Here is a 23,120-nt window from a genome sequence, read left to right on the forward strand (position 1 = left end):
TCAAAAATAATTGAATACCCATAAAAATAATTTAATGAAATATATTTTTAGATGCTTGGTTTTGTGCCTCCACAATACTATCAGTGAATTCAGTTTGTATGCTAAAGAAAGAATATATGATTTTTATGTTTTATGTATAGTATAGGTCAATTTCCATTTAATAAGGGTTGACATAAAAATGATAGTCTGCATTGCAGAGTTATAGGCTAGAAGACGTCTTTTGTCTAGTGATCTCATGCCATAATTTCGAATCACTTTTGTTTGATCTTAATAGATTCTTGTGTGAACAAGGCGAAAGTTGAAGAAAGTGAACAAAAAGCTGCAGAGTTTTCAAAGAAGGTAAGCTTATAAAATATTAGCCATAATCGTTAGGTTAATAATTTAATCACAGTAATACTCTACCTTCTTTATTAATATGAGGGCTTCTAAATGTTTCATTTATGTAGTACTTTATACTTTTGGGTTCAAACATAGCCGTGGAATATTGATTTATTTCCTTATAAGGTAAGGTTGCTATTGTTCCCTCATCATCATGTTTAATCCATTATGGAAGAAAAACACTAGCCACATTATACTAAAGTGATACATGAAATAAAATTACATTGCTGAAAGGGTATAGTTGGAAGCAATCAACCAAAATAAATTCTCCCTTTGCTTTCTTGCAGCTGTCGCTTGCAATAGGTAGCTCTTTGGAGAACTGTGAGATGTTTAGCTAGTCTTTTCTGTTGTGGTCTTTTATGTCAGTGCTATTGATAGTACCAACATGTTGCAGTGTTTTCTCTCTTTCTCACTCTCTTTCTCTCTGTTTAGACTTAGCTTCTTTGAATTTCATAATTATCATTTTGTAAGTGATGCTGCTACTTCATGTAGGCCTGGTGGAATTTGAGGATCCCTTTTCTTTCTGTGTTAATGTCTTAAATGCCTTTGAGTAAATGCCAGCTTTGTGAATATCCGAATTGTATTCAGATCTAAGCTTGTCTTTTCCTTGTTTCATGGAAGCATAGCTATAATTTTATTAGCTTCTACCACAAGTTTCTCTTTTTTTGTTCTAGAGCCTATTAAGCATTAGTATAGTATTTCTGTCCTGTTGTGTGCAGCCAGAAGGATTGAAGCACATGTCTAAAAGCTCTCCAGTTTTCAGCCTTCTCTCAGCAAGATAATGTGCTTACATATTGCTGTCTCTTCAAAGTTATGACTTACCTTGGAGATTAGATAATCACTTTTGCTATCACTCTAGAAATTATAGAGTATTACTGAAGAAGTTACTTCAGGGCATCTGAAGAAATATCTTTGCTCTTTTAGTTACTAGAATAGATTCTAAGAGCTTGAGCATAAAATGTTTGTGTGGAGCTGTCATTTTTATTGGTGAAAGAAAATGCATGCTTTTTGATTAATAGACCTTCATATTTCTAATGTTCTTGTTTTAAGTAGCACATTTAAAATTCCCTTTGAAAAACCTTAGAATCTCCTTAAGTTTTGGCTGGCACTGTGATTAGACACTGCAAGACTGGAGCAAATTGTGATTATCTGTCTGGTAAAGTTTTTTTGTGAGCATATATATTATGGAAAAAGGAGTCCTAAAGTAATAGAAAAGAAATTTCAGTGTTTGATGCTTTAGTGTCATCACCAACATTTAGAATGAAAACATGTATGGTCTCCCAGTGGTTAGCTACATGCATCCCCTTGTTCTGGGTCATTTTAAGAGGCAGTATAAAGTCATTTTTTAACAAGTACTAGAATGAGAGGCAGTAGTTGTGAGATCTGATCTCAGCTTTTCCACTAATTAGCTGTGACTTTGGGTAAGCCACTTACTCTCTTTAGATCTTAGTTTCTTCATCATTAAAAGGAAAGAATAAAATTAGCGGACTTGTAAGAAGACCTCTTCCAGCTCACATATTTCAGGCTTCTGTGATCCCCGTTTGCTGTGTTTGCAGATTAAGGTAATTTTAAATTAAAAGCAGAAACATTGTGTGCCTCTCCTCCAACATACTAATAAACCATTTTTAGAGGAAAAAATGTGTATAGTGTGCTTGTGTAGGTGCCATGATTTAGAAGCACATAGGAGAAGCTAACTTTAGGAGTGGGGATGGGAGTACAGATTGAGATAAATCTTAACACGGATAGTAGTAAAGGCAAACAAGCTCACATTGGAGGATATCCATCTTCTTAATGAAGTAGGAAAACGAGGTCATTGACTGAAGGATATATGGATCCTTCACTCCAAGGATCTGGGGTAGGTTTGAAATTTAAAGAAATTAGAGAATATTTGGGCCAGGATCTGTGGGACATTTTCCCGGGATTCAAGGAGAGATGAATAAAAGCATTTCAGGTTCGACCCAAACAGTATTATTATCCAGTTTGCTCACCCACTCTTCAGACTTAGATCAGAATGGCATTTTATAATTTCCAAAGGTCAAAGCTACTATGAGGATGAATATTTGTTAACAGTGAACATACTTTTGCATTGTTCCACAAACTCTTAAGATGGTTTTGGGCAGTAGATGTATCACTTTTAGAAACAGAAATAACATTGTTAGAATAATGTATAGACTTCTAAATTGACTTGAAACAACATTGACAATAAAGGGCAAATAAAATGTTCTATAGCCAGTCCCAGGCAGTATTCACTGGAAATATGCAGGCAGGTTTGTGCCTGCTTAGAGCCCTGTCTGAGGTAAGGGCTAAGGCAGGATACAGTGAATAAATATTAACCATTCAGTCTTTTTGGCTTAGCACCCCATATTTTAACCTCTAGTTTTTCCTCTCATAACATGCTATACAAATGTTTTGGTTAACCATCTGAATGAGACTGCTATTAGGGCATCCTACTGTCAGAGTTTGTGAAGTACTGCTTTATGGATTCTAGACAACTAAGATTGTAATAGAAACAATTCCAATTTGTATTAATATACGTACATTTGAGCATTCTAAAAGTGCAATTTCTTTTCAAGATTAAATATAGTTAAGGAGTTGAAACTGCTTGATGGTTTATTTTTAGATTTCATTTTCTAATTCATTAAACTTAAAAGTATGGGATGAGGCTGCACATGGTGGCTCACGCCTGTAATCCCAGCACTTTGGGAGGCCGAGGCAGGTGGATCTCCAGAGGTCAGGAGTTCAAGATCAGCCTGGCCAACATGGTGAAACCCATCTCTACTAAAAATACAAAAATTAGCCAGGTGTGGTGGTGCGCACCTGTAATCCTAGCTACTTGAGAGGCTGAGGCAGGAGAATTGCTTGAACCCAGGAGGTGGAGGTTGCAGTGAGCTGAGATCATGCCACTGCACTCCAGCCTGGGTGACACGAGTGAAACTCTGTCTCAAACGGTATGGGATGAAATATTTTTAAAATTATTAATTCTAAAATTGAATTTTCATTACCAAAACAATAAAAATGTTCATTATGTGTGAAGAGAGACTTTTCAGTCTACCTTTTTGTCTTTGTATTTTTTTTCAGAAGTGAAAATGTGTTTTCTTACCTTGGGTAGGGGGCATATTTCTTCTTTACTACCCCACCTCCACTTGGATACTTAATTGTTATGAAAATAATTACAAGCTGTGATTTTCTGAGTGATCTGGGAATTCAACTAAGTAAAAACCACTCCACTTATTTAATACATAATGTTCTTTAAAGCGTTCTGAAAACTATATTATTAACTGTACATTGATGGTGATCATTGCAGTTCGATGAAGAATTCACAGCTCGACAGGAAGCTCAAGCAGAGCTTCAAAAAAGAGATGAGAAAATCAAAGAACTTGAAGCAGAAATCCAGCAACTTCGAACCCAGGTAATGAAAGAAGATATAGACTTTGTGTCATGTCACAATGAGTTTGATGGTAGAAAATTATCTTGTTATATAGAAGGAAAAATGTGACCAGAAGCAGACTTTTTGGCAGTTTTACATTTTCATTGAAATAACTATACAGATTTTATATTCCAGGGCAATAAATCATTTTAATGCTTGGAAAAAAAATAAAGCATTAGTTGCTCAAATGGCCCTGAATATTTTTAATAGAATATATTACACAAGCAAAAGTGTTTTTGAGATGAAATTTTCGTGATGATTTGAAAAATTGGGTACATGCTATTTTCTTTCAAAAAGAATGTAGAAATAGTCATTAATTGTAATTATCCCAAAAGCTTCTTGAGATCTCTTTGAATCTCAAGTAAATTTCCACCTACATTTCCTATGGTGAAAAGCTCCCATATATACTTAAAATTTCAATTAGGGTGTCTAAACTTTCAAACTGATTGTGTATTCTCCTCAATATACTTTATGTCTTAAATTAATATTAAGAAATTGAAGATGGGCCAGGCATGGTGGCTCACGCCTATAATCCCAGCACTTTGGGAGGCGGAAGCGGGCAGATCACGAGGTCAGGAGATCAAGACCATCCTGACTAACAGTGTGAAACCCCGCCTCCACTAAAAATACAAAAAAAAAAAAAAAAAAAAAAATTAGCCGGGAGTGGTGGTGGGCTCCTGTAGTCCCAGCTACTCGGGAGGCTGAGGCAGGAGAATGGTGTGAAACCAGGAGGCAGAACTTGCAGTGAGCCGAGATCCCGCCACTGCACTCCAGCCTGGGTGACAGAGCGAGACTCCGTCTGAAAAAAAGAAAAAAAAAAAAAAAGAAGTTGAAGATGATGTCTTAACATAGTGGGTGCTCAGTAGATATTTGTTGATTGACTAGGTCTGTTTCCACCAGTCTAGTGAACGATTACTTCAAAAGTCACCAACAAACTCCATAATACCCAATCCGGGGGCCTTTTCCTACCCTTAGCCTGTATTACTTATCTCTAATATTTGATCATTTCTTTTCAATAAATTAATCTCTTTCTCTGTCTGTTTCCCTCCCTCTCTTTTTCTTGGACTTCTTTTTCTACATGTTTGAGAACTTAGTTTCTCCTTATTTTTTCATCCTCAAATGGTGACCTTCCACAATATTCTGTCCTCTGCTCTTTTCTTTTTTGTGTATATTTTTGCTGTACTGTTCCATTCAGTATCATACATTCACATATCCCCTTTTAGTAGGGGTCAAGTCTCTTGAGTTTGTCTTCTAGTTCCAGCTCGTGATTAGCTACCCCCATAGGATGGTCCTGTTGCATGTTGAAATCAAACCCAGTTTTGTGGTTTTGTCTCTTTCCTCAAACCAGTTTGTTGTCCATTTCCTGTTTAAATTTTACTACCAATTTTAAAGATGGTGAAGCTGGAGTTTTCTTTCCCTTTTCCCTGCCCCACCCACTGACAAATTAAGCTAGTCAGTTTTATGTCTGTTCTTTCTTCAACTCCACTCATACTACACCTCTTCGCATCAAACCCCAGAAACCTCCAGGTCCCCTCTCTTATGATGTCTCGCCTGGACTATTACAATTGTTGCCTAACTTTTCTCCCTCCTCAAATTCATCCTTTATGTCAGTGGCAAATTAATCTTCCTGAAACAATTCCCTGATTATTGTTACTCCAGCCTTTAATATGTTCACTTGTTGCCTGTTGCAGACAGGATTAAATAAAATCTCCTTACCAGGAATGTTAAGACCCTCTGGCATGAGTTTTTCCTCCTTTATCTCCCCTTTGCAGCCTAGGCTCTGACTGCTCCCCTAACTACAGCCTCTGTTGCAGCTAAGTCACCTTTCCTCCCTTCACATTTGGAAATTACTGTCTCCATACTTAACCCTTCTGCCAGCATTTCCCAGAGATTAGTTACAGAAATGGCAATAGGTTGTTCATGACGAAAGCATTCCATAGTCCAATAAATTGAGTACGCATGAAATTCTCATCTTAGAGATTCATAATACTCATTAGCATATTAAAGGTCCCAGATATTTTACACTGAAGAAACCTGCCTACCTCTTTTTCATATAGATTTCCCATACTCATTTGACCACAGCACCCTTTATCTCAGAGCACCCTTCAACATCTCCTGGAAATAGTGTTTTCATAGAGCTTAGTTGAGAAATGTTGGCATACATTATTCTCTGTAAGAAATTCCCTCCTTTGCTCATCTGTGTGTGTGAAATGTATCCTTTAAGGAGAAGCTCATTAAGACATCTTTTGGAAAGCTTCACCAAAAACTCCATTAGCGAATTTCTCCGAACTTTCATATCACTTTTCTAGACCACTCATGGGATATTTGTGTGCCTGCTCTATTTCTTCTGCTAGAGCATAGACACCTTGAGGACAGTGTGTTTCTTATTAAAGGCCCCACTGTACCTAGCACAGGCCTTTACCGCACAGTGAGTAGTTGCTTACTTATGGTTAAATTAACTGTAAAAAGTGCAGAATCACGAAGCATTCTCAACTCCTGGCCTCAAGCATTCCTCCTACCTTAGCCTCCCAAGGAGTAGCTGGGATTACAGGTGCAGGCACAGGGCTGTATACTTTCTAGTGTGCCCAAAATAATGTCAAATACTAAATTATTCATTTACCATATTCAATTTGCAATACGATGTGGTAGCCTAATTTAATTATTCAATTCCTAATTGTTCATGGGAGGGAAAGGAAAGGCTGATATGATTTGATTTTTAAAGGCTGGTAGCATTTAATATAAATATTTGAGATTCCTTATTAAATCTGTAAAATATATATTTAACTTGAGTAAAATTTTATTTAAATAATAGCATTTTGTGGTTGTATAAAATTCCCAAAATAAATGTGATCTAATAGAGGTGAAAAATTGACTGATGTTTACAAATGTATATTACTTTGAATTATGTTGTCCATTAATTAAAAAATGGGAAACGACACACATTTTGCCTTTCGAAGTATGAAAAATATCATGTCATACACAAAATTTGTAGGATAAATTACTAATTTTCTGAACCTTTAATTTTGCCACAATTACTTTTATCTCAGTTAAGACTATAAAATGAGACTGTTTTCCATAGTTTTGCTACTTTCAAAGTAAAATTAAAATAATTTTACATATTTTAATCTTGTCTTTCTTTCTAACCTCAGAGAGAAAATTGCATTCCAGGAGAGGATGGTTATTTGCTAAGTATAGAAACACTTTAGTTGTATGTATGTATATACATACATTAACATTCATCTATGTGAAAAAACTAGTGTGAGTGAATATTATGGGTAACCTTTCCATGATCTTGTCTACCTATGAGTGTTAGTTTTAATATTTTTGTAAATAGGTCAGTCCTTTCAACTGGTTGTTCCAAACATTTGCTTCAGCTTACTTTCTAAAGATATTTATGGCTGTGCACAGTGGCTCACGCCTGTAATCCCAGCACTTTGGGAGGCCGAGGCGGGCAGATCACGAGGTCAGGAGTTCTAGACCAGCCTGGCCAACATGGTGAATCCCCATCTCTACTAAAAATACAAAAAATTAGCCGGGAGTGGTGGCAGGCGCCTGTAATCCCAGCTACTCGGGAGGCTGGGGCAGGAGAATAGCTTGAAACCGGAAAGCAGAGGTTGCAGTGAGCTGAGATTGTGCCACTGCACTCCAGCCTGGGCAACAAGAGCAAAACTCTGTCTCAAAAATAAAATAAAATAAAATAAAATAAATGAAAAAGGTATTTATAAATTCAGTTAGAAGAACTAAATAATCCAAGTAGAACATTTATATTAATAATGGTGAGAGGGCTAGGCACAGTGGCTCTTGCCTTTAATACCAGCAATTTAGGAGACCAAGGTGGGAGGATTCCTTGAGCCCAGGAATTTGAGACTGTTCTGGGCCACATAGTGAGACCCCATCTTAAAAAAAAAAAAATTAGCCTGGGGTAGTGGTGCATGCCTGTAGTCCCAGTTAGTCAGGAGACTGAGATGGGAGGATCACTTGAGTCCTAGAGGTCAAGGCTGCAATGCACTATGATTTTGCCACTGTACTCCAGCCTGTGCAAGAGCGAGACTGTCTCTGAATGAATGAATGAATGGGTGAGGACAAAAAGGACACTATCCCAAGAAATTTAATTAGCTTTTTTTGTTGTTCACTGAAAATTTGTTTATTAAGTTGTTAATGTTTTACAGAGTTCGTTCAATATTTTATGGAACTTAAAATCCTGAGTTTCCCCTCAATAATACAGATGTCTGTAATACAGACATTTGTACAAACTACTACAATTACTGATGCCTTATATAATTAGACTTCTATAACTTCCATTTGTCAGGTAAATAAAACACCTCTCAAAGTTACCACAACTTTAGGAGTTCACAAATTCCTATTTCTGCAGTTTTTCATTAGTATATTTTAAACTTTCATAAAAGAGGAAACCAAAACCTCCAAATCAAAAGCCTTAATATGAACCAACATTGAGAAACAGAGTAATGTAAGAAGCTCTTTTATTCATCACGGAGAACAAAAATACAGAATATTTTTACTAATTTATTTTCCACTAAAGAGAATACACTTTGTATTTAGATAAATAAATGTTTATTTACTGGGAGTTGCTTTTGGAGAATGATCCATAATTGCCCTATCAATGGTCACATATTGATACCAGGGTCCATCTCTTCTCTTCCACATTAATCTTCGTACTTCCAGCTCCTTTATCTGCAGTTCAGCCTTTTCAGTTTCAGTGTGAAGGATAGCCATTGTTCTTTCGTAATTATTTTCAGGATCATCATAGAAAGTATGGACAATCCATCTCAATATAGGATGCTTATAATATGCCCATTGTTCTGGGATATAGCCTTCTGGAATTCCTACTAGTTCAGTTTCACCAATGAATACATTCACTAGAGTTTCTCCAATTGCCACTGGAATCCCTATAAACAAAATATAGAATTTCAGTAAATTAAAAAAACACCCATTGTAGAATCCAGAAGGTTTCATGATAAATAGTCTTTTTCCTATGATCTCCACTGTGTTAAACAGGAGTGACAGCTTTAACAAAGCCACGGGTGAGGAAGCCCCTGAATCCCAGTCGAGCGTCAAGGCACTGGCCAGACAGCTGTCACTGCAGTGACTGAGGCCTGTTGCAAAAAACTCATGGCTGCCTTGGCTGCCTTAATTAGTTTTAAACGTTTCATTCTGTTAATCTAATGTCGTATCTTGATTAAAACAGATGTGTGTTCATTGGTAGTGGTTTCATAAGAATGTTTATAATGAACAGCTCTACTTTTCATATATATTTATCTAGCAAAGTGAGCCATTGTGATCAGTACTGGTTTAAGGAAATGGATATAGATTAATCATCTCTAAAAAGAACATGATATGGATTGCAGTGTTCCCTTTCATCTGTTATCCATTGTCATTAGAGAATGAGCTTGAAGTTACTTTCTGATAGAAATGTTATATCCTCCTCATAATCCTATCTATTTGAATTAATTGTCCTCATTGTAAATGGCACCCATTCATGAAAAGACAGTCTTTTATATTGGGATGAGGATGGTATTAGATGTAAGAAGAACCACATTGAAATTCTAATCATGTTCAGACTCTGAAACTTTTGGTTAGTCATTTAACTTTTTCTGCAGCTAACAGTTTCCTCATCTTTAAGCAGTGAAATAAAGGTGAGATAATAATGCCCTATCTGTATTACAGGGTTATAATAAGGATCAAAAGAAATAATAAATGTAAAAATGTTGATAAGCATATATTACTATGGAAATGGATGCTATTTAGTATTTATTATTGGTGTTAGAAGCCAGCTAAGTTACTAGAGCCATGAAACAGACTCTTTGTATGAAGCTAATTAGCCCCCAAGGGAATTTAATCCATAACCTTGTATTTATTATCCCATATTCAAACCAACTAATCTAACTGGCCCAAGCCATACACTGTACTTCTTTTGTACATATATTTATAAAGAAAGTTAATTTTTCATTATTTTAGAGGAGTATTTCACAAAATCTTTGAGGATACTGTATTAGTCCGTTCTCACACTGCTATGAAGAAATACCTGAGACTGGGTAATTTATAAAGGGAAGAGGTTTAATTGACTTGCAGTTTTGCAGAGCTGGCGAGGCCTCAGGAAACTTACAATCATGGTGGAAGGGGAAGCAAACACATCCTTCTTCACATGGCAGCAGCAAGGAGAAGTGCCAAGCAAAAGGGGAAAAGCCTCTTAAAAAACCATCAGATCTTCGGAGAACTCAGAATTATCAATTATTCATTATTCATTATTCAATTATCTCCCCCTGGTCCCGCCCTTGACACGTGGGGATTATTACAATTCAAGGTGAGATTTAGATGGCGATGCAGAGCTAAACCATATCATTCCACCCTTAGCCCTTCCCAAATCTCATGTCCTCACATTTCAAAACACAATCATGCCCTTCCAACAGTTCCCCAAAGTCTTAACTCATTCCAGCATTAACCCAAAAGTCCAAGTCCAAAGTCTCATCTGAGACAAGTTATGTTCCTTCTGCCTATGAGCCTGTAAAATCAAAAGCTAGTCACTTCCTAGATACAATGGGGATACAGGCATTGGGTAAATACACCCATTTCAAATGGGAAAAATTGGCCAAAACAAAGGGACTGCAGGCCCCATGCAAGTCTAAAATCCAATAGGGCAGTCATTAAACCTCAGAGTTCCGAAATGATCTCCTTTGACTCCATGTCTCATATCCAAGACATGCTGATGCAAGAGGTGGGTTTCCACAACCTTGGGCAGCTTTGCCCCTGTGGCTTTGCAGGGTGCAGCCTCCCTGCTGATTGCTTTCACAAGTTGGTGTTGCGTGTTTGTGGCTTTTCCAGGTGCATGGTGCAAGCCATCAGTAGATCTGTCATTCTGGGGTCTGGAGGATGGTGGCCCTCTTCTCACAGCTCCACTAGGCAATGCCCCAGTGGGGACTCTGTGTGGGGGCTCCAACCCCACATTTCCCTTCTGCACTGCCCTAGCAGAGATTCTCCATAAGGGCTCCACCCCTGCAGCAAACTTCTGCCTGGACATCCAGGCGTTTTCATACATCCTCTAAAATCCAGGCAGAGGTTCCCAAACCTCAGTTCTTCACTTCTGTGTACCTGCAGGCTCAACACCGCTTGGAAGTTGCCAAAGCTTGGGGCTTGCACCCTCTAAGGCTATGTCTTGAAATGTACCATGACTCCTTTTATCCATGGCTGAAGTGGCTAGGATGCAGGGCACCAAAGAGACTGCACACAGCGGGAGGGCCCTGGACCTGGCACAGGAAACTATTTTTCTCTCCTAGGCCTCCAGGCCTGTGATAGGAGGGGCTGCCATGAAAGTCTCTGACATGCCCTGGAGACATTTTCCTCATTGTCTTGGTGATTAGCATTTGGCTCCTCATCACCTATGCAAATTTCTGCAGAGGGCTTGAATTTCTCCCCAGAAAACGGATTTTTCTTTACTACTGCATTGTCAGTCTGCAAATGTTTTTAAACTTTTATGCTCTCTTCCTCTTGAACGCTTTGCCACTTAGAAATTTTTTCTGCCAGATACCCTAAATCATCTCTCTCAAGTTCACAGTTCCACAGATCTTTAGGGCAGACAAAATGCCACCAGTCTCTTTGCATTGCAAGAGTGACCTTTATTCCAGTTCCCAACAAGTTTCACATCTCCATCTGAGACCACCTCATCCTGGACTTTATTGTTTATATCATTATCAGCATTTTGGTTAAAGCCATTCAACAAGTCTCTAGGAAGTTCCAAACTTTCCCACATTTTCCTGTCTACTTCTGAGCCCTCCAAACTATTCCAACCTCTGCCTGTTACCCAGTTCTAAAGTTGCTTCCACATTTTTGGGTTGCTTCCACATTTTTGCATATCTTTACAGAAGCACCCAACTATCCGGTGCCAATTTACTGTATTGTTGTTCTCACACAACTATGAAGAAATACCTGAGACTGGGTAACTTTTTTTTTATTTTATTATTTCTTTGAGACGGAGTCTCGCTCTGTCACCAAGGCTGGAGTGCAGTGGCGTGAGCTCAGCTCACTGCAACCTCTGCCTCCTGGGTTAAAACGATTCTCCTGCCTCAGCCTCTCGAGTAGCCGGGATTACAGGCACGTGTCACCATCCCCAGCTAATTTTTGTATTTTTAGTAGAGACAGGGTTTCGCCATGTTGGCCAGGCTGGTCTTGAACTCCTGACCTCAGGTAATTCACCTGCCTCGGTCTCCCAAAGTGTTAGGATTACAGGCGTGAGCCACCGCACCTGGCTGAGACTAGGTAATTTATAAAGGAAAGAGGTTTAATTTACTCAGTTCTGCAGGGTTGGGGAGGCCTCAGGAAACTTCCAATCATGGCCAAAGGGGAAGCAAAACACATCCTTCTTCACATCGCAGTAGCAAGGAGAAGGGCCAAGCAAAAAGGGAAAATCCCCGTATAAAACCTTCAGGTCTTGTGAGAGCTTGCTCATGATCACGATTTGGGTGGGAACACAGAGCCAAACCCTATCAGATACCAACTTTCCTAGCATTTGTGTGTTAACAGAAGTAGTCACTGTCCAGAATTTATAATGCTTATAAAAAATCTACACAGGCCTTTTTCATATACTGTTAAACCCTTAGATCTTGCTAAATATTTAGATATTTTAGTAATATCTAAAAAAGTATATATGATCTTAAAACATAAGATAAATAAACTACAAATATCTATTGATATATATTTCTTCAGTTTTTTCAATTATATTTTATAAGCATTTAAACTTGGATTATTTATATTTCAGGCACAAGTACTCTCAAGTTCATCAGGAATTCCAGGTCCTCCTGCAGCACCTCCATTGCCAGGTGTAGGGCCGCCTCCACCACCACCCGCGCCACCTCTACCCGGAGGAGCTCCTCTTCCTCCTCCACCACCTCCTTTACCTGGAATGATGGGGATACCACCACCACCCCCACCACCACTTTTATTTGGGGGACCTCCTCCACCACCACCCCTTGGAGGAGTTCCTCCTCCCCCAGGAATATCACTTAATCTACCTTATGGAATGAAGCAGAAAAAAATGTATAAACCTGAAGTGTCCATGAAGAGAATCAATTGGTCAAAGGTAATACTAAAACTAGAGTTTTTTTACTTTGTCTAGCTTTTGTTGATCATTGCTATGTGTACACATTGTATAATGTTTGAGAGTATGACTGCTGACTCTTTCCGTTCCTTTGTGGGTTCATCATTTTATGTCCATCTTTCAATTTAGGTTGTAGATAATTGGAAACTCTCCAGATAGTTTGACATTGTGAAGCAGGCAAAAGGAAAATCGAAGTGATGTAGAGAATAATATTTGAAATATACCAACAAATGACAAGCAATTTTGATTCTTTTAACATAGCTTTTCTTTAAAAATTTTTTATTGATATGTAATATTTGTACGTATTTATGGGGTACATATGATTTTTGCTACATGCATAGAATGTGTAATGATCAAGTCAGGGTATTTAGGATACCCATCACCTTTAACATTTGTCATTTGTTTGTGTTGAGAACATTCAGATCTTCTCTTCTAGTTATTTTGAAATATACAACATATTGTTAACTATGGTCACTTTACTGTGCTATCAAATGGTAGAACTTATTCCTTTTATCTAACTATATGTTCATACCCATTAACCTATCTCTCTTCACCCTCCCACCTCCCACACACACCCTTCCCAGTCTCTGGTAACTATCATTCTATTCTCTACCTTCATGATACTCACTTTTTAAGCTCCTATATATGAGTGAGAATATATGATATTTGTTTTTCTGTGTCCAGCTTTTTTCACTTAACATAGTGATCTCCAATTCCATACATATTGCTGCAAATGACAGGATTTCAGTCTTTTTTATAGTTGAATGGTATTCCATTATGTCTCAATACTATATTTTCTTTATCCATTCATCCGTTGATGGACACTTAGCTTGATTTCATATCTTGATTTCATATCTTTGCCATTGTGCCTAGTGCTGCAATAAACATGAGGGTGCAGGTATCTCTTTGATATACTGATTTCCTTTCCTTTGTATAAATACTCAGTGGTCAGATTACAGCATTATTGTATGGTAATCCTGTTATTTAGGAGCATTATTGTATGGTAATCCTATTATTTATATTTTTGAGAAATCTTTATAGTGTTTTCCATAATGGCTGTACTATTTACATTCCTAATAACAGTATATGAAAGTTCCCTTTTCTCCACATCTTTGCCAGCATTTTGTCTTTTTGATAATAGCTATTCTAACTGGCATAAGATGCCAGTAAGATACCTCACTGTGGTCTTGATTTGTATTTCCCTGGTGATTAATGATGTTGAGCACATTTTCATATATCTTGGCCATTTGTTTGTCTTCTTTTGAGAAATGTCTACTTAAATTATTTGTCTACTCTTTAATGTGATTATTTGTTTTGTTGCTATTGTTTGGGTTTCTTGTATTTTTTGGATATTAGTCCATTGTTGGATAGTTTGCAGATATTTTTTCCCATTCAACAGATTGTCTCTTTACTCTGTTAATTGTTCCCTTTTCTATGCGGAAGCGTTTTAGTTTAATATAATCTCACTTACCCATTTTTGTTTTTGTTTCCTGTGCTTTTCAGGTCTTAGCCACAAAATCTTTGCCTATATTAGTGTCCTGGAGCATTTGTCTTGTTTTCTTCTAGTAGTTTTATAGTCTCAGGTCTTATGCTTAAGTCTTTAATCAATGTTGAGTCCATTTTTATATATTGTGGGAGATATAGGTCAGGTTTAATTCTTTTGCAAATGGATGTCCAGTTTTCCTATCATCATTTATTGAAGAGGGTGTCCTTTCCCCATTGCATGTTCTTGGTACATTTGTGCCAAATCTGTTAGCTGTAAATATATGGATTTACTTCTGGGTTCTCTATTCTATTCCATTGGTGTATATATCTCTTTTTACATTAGTACCATGCTGTTTTGACTACTATAGCCTTGTAGTATATTTTGAAGTCAATGTCCTGCTTTGATCTTTTTGCTCAGGATTGCTTTGGCTATTCAGGCTCTTGTGTGGTTCCATATGAATTTTAGGATTATTTTTCCTATTTTTTGTGAAAAAATGTTAATGGTATTTTGATAGGGATTGCATTGAATCTGTAGATTGCTTTGAGTTGTATGGTCGTTTTAACAGTGTAAATTCCTTTATTCTATGAGCATTGTCTCTTTCCATTTGTTTGTGTCCTCTTTAATTTCTTTCATCAGTGTTTTGTAGTTTTTCTTATAAAGGTCTTTTACTTCTTTGGTTAAATTTATTCCTAGGTTTTTTATTTTTTTGTAGCTATTGTAAATGAGATTGCCTTTTTATTTTTTTTTCCAGCAAGTTTATTGTTCAGCTATAGAAACATTAATAAATTTTGTGTGTTGATTTTGTATCCTCCAACTTACTGAATTTATTAATTATATGAGTTTTTTGTGGGGTGTTTAGGTATCTCCAAATGTCAGATCATGTTGTCTGCAAAGAGGGACAATTTGATGTTGTCTTTTCCAATTTGGATGTCCTTTATTTCTTTGCTTGACTGATGGCTCTGGCTAGGACTTCCAGTACTATGTTGAATAGGAATGGTGAAAGTGAGCATCCTAGTCTTGTTCCAATTCTTAGAGGAAAGGCTTTCATGTTTTGTCCATTCAGTATGATGTTAGCAATGGCTTTGTCATATATGGCATTTATTATATGGAAGTATGTTCCCTCTCTGCCTAATTGTTGAGAGTTTTTATTGTGAAGGGATGTTACATTTTATCAAATGCTTTTTCTACATCTGTTGAGATAATTATATAGTTTTCATTTTTCATTCTTTTGCTGTGATGTATCACGTTTATTGAATGGCATATGTTAAACAATCCTGGCATTCATGGGGTATATCCCATTGATTATGATGTATTATCTTTTGGATGTGCTGTTGGATTCAGTTCCCTAGTATTTTGTTGAGGATGTTTATGCCTGTGTTCATCTGGGATATTCTTTAATTGTTGTGTCCTTGTTTGGTTTTCGTATTGGGGTAATGCTGGCCTCGTAGGATGAGTTAGGAAGAATTTCCTGCTCTTTAGTTTTTTGGAATAGTTTGACAAGAATTGGTGTTAGTTCTTTTTTACAAGTTTGGAAGAATTCATTAGTAAAGTCATTAGTCCTGGGGCTTTTCTTTACTGGGGGGACTTTCTTGGTAGATTGTATGTGTCCAGTAATTTATCCATTTCCTCTGGCTTTTCAGCTTGTTAATGTATAGTTGTCCATAGTAGTCTCTGATATCTTTTGTATTTCTGTGCTATCAGTTGTAAGGTCTCCTCTTCCATTTCTGATTCTGTTTATTTAGGTCTTTCTTTTTTTTTTTTTCTTTTCTTGGATAATCCAGCTAGTGGTTTATCAGTTTTATCTTTTCAAAAAAAAAAAACCTAACTTTTTGTTTTGTTGCTCTTTTGTATTATATTTTTAATCTCTGTCTGGCTCAGTTCTGCTCTGATCTTTATTATTTTTTTCCTTCTACTGATTTGGGGTTTGGTTTGTTCTTGCTTTTTTAGTTCCTTCAGGTGCAAAATTAAACTGTTTATTTGACATCTTTCCATTTTTTCGAAGTAGTTGTTTATTGCTATGAACATCCCTCTTAGCATTGCTTTCCACAGGTTTTGATATATTGTTTTTTTAATTTTCACTTACATTAATACATTTTTTAATTTTTTTCTTAATTTTTTAATTGACCCAGTGGTCATTCAGGAGCATGTTCTTTAAGTCTATGTACTTGCATAGTTTCTGAAATCTCTCTTATTATTGATGTCTAATTTTATCCCATTGTGGTCTGAGAAGATACTCGATATGATTTTGATTTTTAAAAATTTGTTGAGACTTGGTTTTTATAGTAGCATATGATCTATCCTTGAGAATGTTTCTTATGCTGATGGGAAGAGTGTTTATTCTGCAGCTGTTGGATAAAATGTTCTGTAAATGTCTTTTAGGCCTGTTTGTTCTAAAGTGCAGTTTAAATCCAATGTTTATTTGTTGATTTTCTGCCTAGATGATCTGTCTAATGCTGGGAGTAGGGTGTTGAAGTCCCCAACTATTACTATGTTAGAGTGTACCTTTCCCTTTAGATCTAATAATATTTTCTTTGTATATCTGGGTGCTCCAGTGTTGGGTACATATATATTTTGACATGTTACATCCTCTTGCTAAAGTGATGCCTTTCTATATATATATACATATATATATACATATATATATATACATATATATATACATATATATATACACATATATATATACATATATATATATACACATATATATATACACATATATATATACACATATATATACACATATATATACACATATATATATACACATATATATACATATATATATACATATATACACACACATATATATATACATATATATATACACACACACACACACACATATATATATATATATATATATATATACCTACTTTGTCTCTTTTTACTATTTTTGACTTAACATCTGTTTGATCTGATATACGTATATTTACTCCTCACTTTTGGTTACCATTTGCAATTTAATATCTTCTATTTTCAGCCTATGTGTGTCTTGCAGGTGAAATATGTTTCTTGTTGGAAGCATATAGTTGGGTCATGTTTTTTAGTACATTCAGCCAGTCTATATCTTCTAAGTGGGCAATTTAATTGGTTTACATTCAAGTTTATTATTGATAGGTGAGGAGTTATTCCTGTCATTTTGTTAATTGTTTTCTGTTCATTTTGTGTATCCGTTGTTTTTTTCTTTCTTTGTTATTGTTTATCCATGTGGTTTAGTAGTTTTCTGTAGTGTTAACATTTGAGTCCTTTCTCTTTCTCATTTGTGTATCTGCTCTACATGTGAGTTTTATACTTTCATGTGCTTTCATGATATATTCTCTTTCAGACACGTAGGACTTCCTTAAGCATTTCTTGTAGGGCTTGTCTAGTGGTGATGAATTCCCTCAGTTTTTGCGTGTTTGGGAAAGACATTATGTATTTCTCCTTCATTTTTGAGGGATAGATTTGTTGGGTATATACAACTGGCTTCTTTTTTTCTTTTTTTCTTTTGGCACTTTAAATATAGTGTCCCATTCTCTCTTGGCCTGTAGCCTCTCCAATATGCTGCACCACGTGTTCCTGGGATGTAGGACACCTTGTGGGCTAGAGTGCTGGGACCTGGTCTCATTGCTGGATCTAGCCAGTATCACACCACTGCAGTCATCTGGGTGGATGTGGGGAGATTTCAGTGGGCTCCAAGGATGTGGAGATAGAGTATCATTCATCCCCAGGGCAGGATGTAGTCTGGTTGGGTTTGGGCTCTCAATCTGTTACCATACTGCACCTGCTTTGGTCTTGGTGGCATGTGTGGGATCCAGTGTGAATGCTCATTCTAGAGCAATGCCATTGCACACACTGCAGCTCGCTTTGTATACTAAAGACTAGTTTCAGGGCCTGTGGAGGCTGAGTGGCTCTCCTATGGCTAGAATCTTCAGAGTTCACAGTGGGAATCTGGACCACTGGGGATATGTTATTTACCCTTTTCCCACATTGGGGGAGCGTCTCTGGGCTCCCAGCTAATCACAGCCAGGCTTGCTGCCTGGATTCCCGCTCCTTCCGTGCCTCAGGTGTTTTCTGTAACTTCCCTGCCAAATTCCAGTGTTTTTACATGTTGTGATTATCTACTCTCTTTTTTGGCCTTTTATGGAGGATATGAGTGCCACCTGCCTCCAGTCAGCTGAAGCCTATTCCCCATTTTTCTTGAATAAAATCCTTTTTATTATTGAGCCTTTTTATCTTACTTGTTTTTCTTAGTGAATGACTTTTTTTTTAATTTTACACTTTCAAATAGTGTGGAATAAGTGACAATATTCAATATTGATATACCTTAATTTTTTTTGATGTATGAAAATACTTTCTTCTGAATGTTGTTTGGCTTTATTATTATTAGAAAATAATATGTCTGTTTTAAAAGGTTATTATGTAGATTGACACAGTCCTCATTCACTGGGAACTAATTTTCTAATGAAAATCCATTTACCCAGACAACCATCTGGGGAAATGTGTCATCCAATAACATATTTACAGTATTAGACAGCATCTATGTAGTAAGTTGGTTTAAACAGAATGATGGTTAAATCATTTTTCAATCTTATGCATATATTTATGCTTTGCTCATAAGAGTAAACTTGGAGTAAATGGTTTTAGAATGTAGTTTTCTTTTTAAAAAATTAAGTACAATTCATCAAAATTCAAGATTACAAAGCTGTTGCCTAGTTATCTTCCTGTGTTAATGTAGTCGTATGCTTCCTAATTTTACAATTTAGTATACGGTGTAATGGTAGTTATACATCACAAAACTTCATGGTGTATTGGAAGATAAAGTTCTAATCTTGGGTAGTAGTTAAGACCACAGTCCTCTGGAGCACTTATCTAGGTTTAAAATCCCAGCTCTGCCATTTACTAATTTGGGCAGCCACTTAAACTTTCTTGGGCTGTGTTTCCTCATCTTTTAATGTAGAGATAATAACAGGTGAAAAAATTATTACGAGGATTAAATTAGTTAATATATGCAAATAACTTAAGACAGTACCTGACACAACGTAGGAGGCGTGTGTCAGCTATCATTATGGTTGCTACCTTAAACCTAATGAGTGAACAAGGGGAATTCACTTTTCTAAGTCTGAGTTTCCCTGTTTTAAAAAACCCAGGAACAAGAAGATTTTATGTGAGTTGGGGTTAGGATTTCCTAAGTTATTTTTAAGACTCCTTCCAGTAGAATAGTTTTTAAGGTGCAATTTGCTTTGTGGTCTATTTCTATTGTTCACCATTTCGTCACATAATTCTGAATTTCCCAATGAATATTTACTTTATAAGTATTATTTAGATACATCCTGAAATTGACTTAGAGGATAGAGGAATAAAGGAACTGTCATTCAACCTTGCTGAAAGTTAGTTCCTTGAAAATTTAAATATGAGGTTATAATTTAGAATCTATTCTTTGTTATTTTTGTTTCAGATTGAACCCACAGAATTATCTGAGAACTGTTTCTGGTTAAGAGTCAAAGAAGACAAGTTTGAGAATCCAGATCTCTTTGCCAAATTGGCATTGAATTTTGCTACTCAGATAAAAGGTACATTTTTAAAAATAAAATATAAGTTCCCGATTCAGGTACAATTTAATTTAGTGCTTTGCTAAAAATTTCTAGTAATGGGTATATGTATACTTTTCCCACACTGGACAGGGTGAAACATAAATAGATTGACATTTAACTATATTTTACCTAGTAAATAAAGAAGGAAATTTATTTTACCTTTGAATTTTATTATACATAAATGTTATTATTCTTCTGAAAATACAGGTTTTATTTTTATTGTTAAATATGTGTGTTGCACTGCTCCATTATAAAATAGTCGTTTTTACTGAGAAGCAGGGAAGATGAATCCGTTGATTCATCATGTAAGAGAAAATAATGTAAGAGAACACTAAAGTCTCAGAATTTTTCATGAAATTGAAATAAGATTGGTCCCATAGTCTTAAATAGTCTTTCCTGTCATGCTTGTATTACTTATCAATTTGGATTCCTAGGAAATGTTATAGTTTTTGCTATAATTAGATATTTTCTATTAATATCAAAATCCAGTACCTTATAAGTATTGTTTACTGATTTGATAATAGAGTGCTTTGTTTATGATTAGATCCTTTATTTATTTGCTTGTGAATTTCACAGATGATTTTGTTACTATACAGGTAGCTTCTCAATCTCATAATAGATCGTTATGGTTCATTAATTTTTGGTATTTTATTTCAACATGATTATTTCACTAATTATTGTAGAAGTGATAGTTTAGTTGAGGATATTACTTTTTGTCTGAATGAGTCCTTGCAGTTGAAAAATGGAAATAATCCATACTCTCATGCCCTTGGAATTAGCACCTTTATCATTCATTTGTCTGATTTGTCACATTATGCCTTAGAATATGAGAATATAAATTTTGGAAGATAGAGAGGTGTGAAAATTAGTTTCTTTTTTTTAGATTATGTACACTGGAGATTGTTGTGCTGTATTTGTTGTTCTTTGTAAATTGAAGTTCATATGCACACACAAATCTGGGGTGATTAGACTATTCTGAAGAATTTTGACATTTAAAAAAAGTTACTACTATTAGGCCTACCTTTCTTTTTTCTCATTTGATATCGCAGACCTCACATTTAAAGAATTTTTCAATGATTCAAGTGATTGCCATTTATTATAATCACTGTTTAACGTTAAAAAATTGCTTGTAGCAAAGTGTTCATGCTTATAGCAAATTATTCATATAGTAAAATAAGGTAGTTTAACAAATGTAAATCTCCCTTCAATCTCAGACTTACAGCATTTTGCCCAGATAAAATCATTAATTCTAATTTTTCACATTTTCTCCTAGAAATAGTCTATGCCTCTCAACACATATGTGCATTTATCATTTTTTGTTTTTTATTCCTTGCTGTTTTCACCAACTGTGCCTAAAGATTATTCTGTAGGTGCTTGTGTTTATCTACTGTGTTCTTTTTACATACTGCATAGAATTTTGTGTATGGGCCTATCTTAATTTAATTAATCCCATATCAATGGCTATTTAGATTAGTTCTAGTCTTTTGCTTGTTTAAGAAATGCTGTGGTGAACATGACTCCATATATGCTGTTTTTCACAAATTCTACAAGTAAAATTCCTGGATAAAATGCTGTGTACATTTACAAATTTTAAAGATAGTATGAAATTACATTCTGATGAGTTTGTATCAGTTTATAATGTCACAAAGAATATATATGAATATCTGTTTTCCCAAAATCTTTGCCCACCTCAGAGGTGAAAATGGTAAATCATTGTTGTTATAATTTTTGCTTTTTGAATATGGAGTGAGATTGAGCACATTTTCTTATATTCACAGGCAATTTTATTTTACTTTCATTTTAAAAAATAATTTTAACTCTTATTCTGTATTCAGGGGGTACATGTGCAGGATTGTTACATGGGTATGTTGCATGATTCTGAGGTTTGGGACGCAAATGATCCCATCATCCAGGTAGCAATGAGCATAGTACTTGACCATTAGTTTTTTAATCCTTGCCCTCTTCCCTCCCTCTGTTCTCTATTAGCCCCCAGTGTCTATTCCCATCTTTGTGTCCAAGAATACCCAGTATTTAGCTCCCACTTATAAGTGAGAACATGCAGTATTTAATTTTCTGTTCCTGCATTAATTTGCTTAGGATAATGGCCTCCAGCTGCATCCATGTTACTGCAAAGGATATCATTTTTTATTTTTATATTTATTTATTTATTCATTCATTCATTCATTCATTCATTCATTTATTCATTTTGAGACAGAGTTTCGGTCTTGTTGCCCAGGCTGGAGTGCAATGGCGCGATCTTGGCTCACTGCAACCTCCGCCTCCCGAGTTCAAGCAATTCTCCTACCTCAGCTTCCCGAGTATCTGGGATTACAGGCGCCCACCACCCTTAGCTAATTTTTGTATTTTTAGTAGAGACTGGGTTTCACCTTGTTGGCCAGGCTAGTCTCAAACTCCTGGCCTCAGGTAATCCACCCGCCTCGACCTCCCAAAGTGCTAGGATTACAGGCGTGACCCACCATGCCTGGCCAGGATATGATTTTTTTTTAATTACGGCTGCATAGTATTCCATGGTGTATATGTACCACATTTTCTTTATCCAGTCCATTGTTGATGGGCACCTAGGTTGATTCCTTGTCTTCGCTATTGTAAACAGTGCTGTGATGCACATAAAAGTGCATGTGTCTTTTGGGGGAAATGATTTCTTTTCTTTTGGATTTGAACCTAGTAATGTGATTGCTGAGTAGAATGGTAGTTCTGTTTTAAGTTATTTGAGAAGTCTCCGAACTGCTTTCTATAGTGGCTGAACTAATTTACATTCTTACCAACAGTATATAAGTGTTCTGTTTTCTCCACAGCCTTGCCAGCATCTGTTTGGGTTTTTTTTTTGGCTTTTTAGTAATAGCCATGCTGATTCGTGTGAGATGGTATCTTGTTGTGGTTTCAATTTTTCATTTCCCTGATGATTAGTGTTATGAGCATTTTTTCATGTTTGTCAGCCTCTTGTATGTCTTTTTATTTTTATTTTATTTATTTATTTATTTATTTTGTGACAGAGTTTCGCTCTTGCTGCCCAGGCTGGAATGCGATGGTGCAATCTCAGCTCACTGCAATCTCCGCCTCCTGGGTTCAAGTGATTCTCCTGCCTCAGACTCCCCAGTAGCTGGGATTACAGGTGCCCGCCAC

The 23,120-nt window shown here is 36.1% G+C and overlaps 1 protein-coding gene and 1 pseudogene across 2 annotated transcripts in view; one reads left to right on the forward strand and one right to left on the reverse strand.

The window, feature by feature from the left end:
• Positions 1–23,120, forward strand: part of DIAPH2 (diaphanous related formin 2) — a 920,156-nt gene that overhangs the window by 260,411 nt on the left and 636,625 nt on the right. For both annotated transcript variants that reach the window (NM_006729.5, NM_007309.4), the window contains exons 14-17: positions 275–339; positions 3,683–3,787; positions 12,576–12,896; positions 19,841–19,955. In NM_006729.5, the coding sequence (NP_006720.1) occupies positions 275–339; positions 3,683–3,787; positions 12,576–12,896; positions 19,841–19,955 (606 nt within the window). The remainder of the gene's footprint in view (positions 1–274; positions 340–3,682; positions 3,788–12,575; positions 12,897–19,840; positions 19,956–23,120) is intronic.
• NDUFB5P2 (NADH:ubiquinone oxidoreductase subunit B5 pseudogene 2) lies at positions 8,387–8,943 on the reverse strand (annotated as a pseudogene).

The sequence above is a fragment of the Homo sapiens genome, chromosome X, assembly GCF_000001405.40.
Source record: "Homo sapiens chromosome X, GRCh38.p14 Primary Assembly".
NCBI lineage: Eukaryota > Metazoa > Chordata > Mammalia > Primates > Hominidae > Homo > Homo sapiens.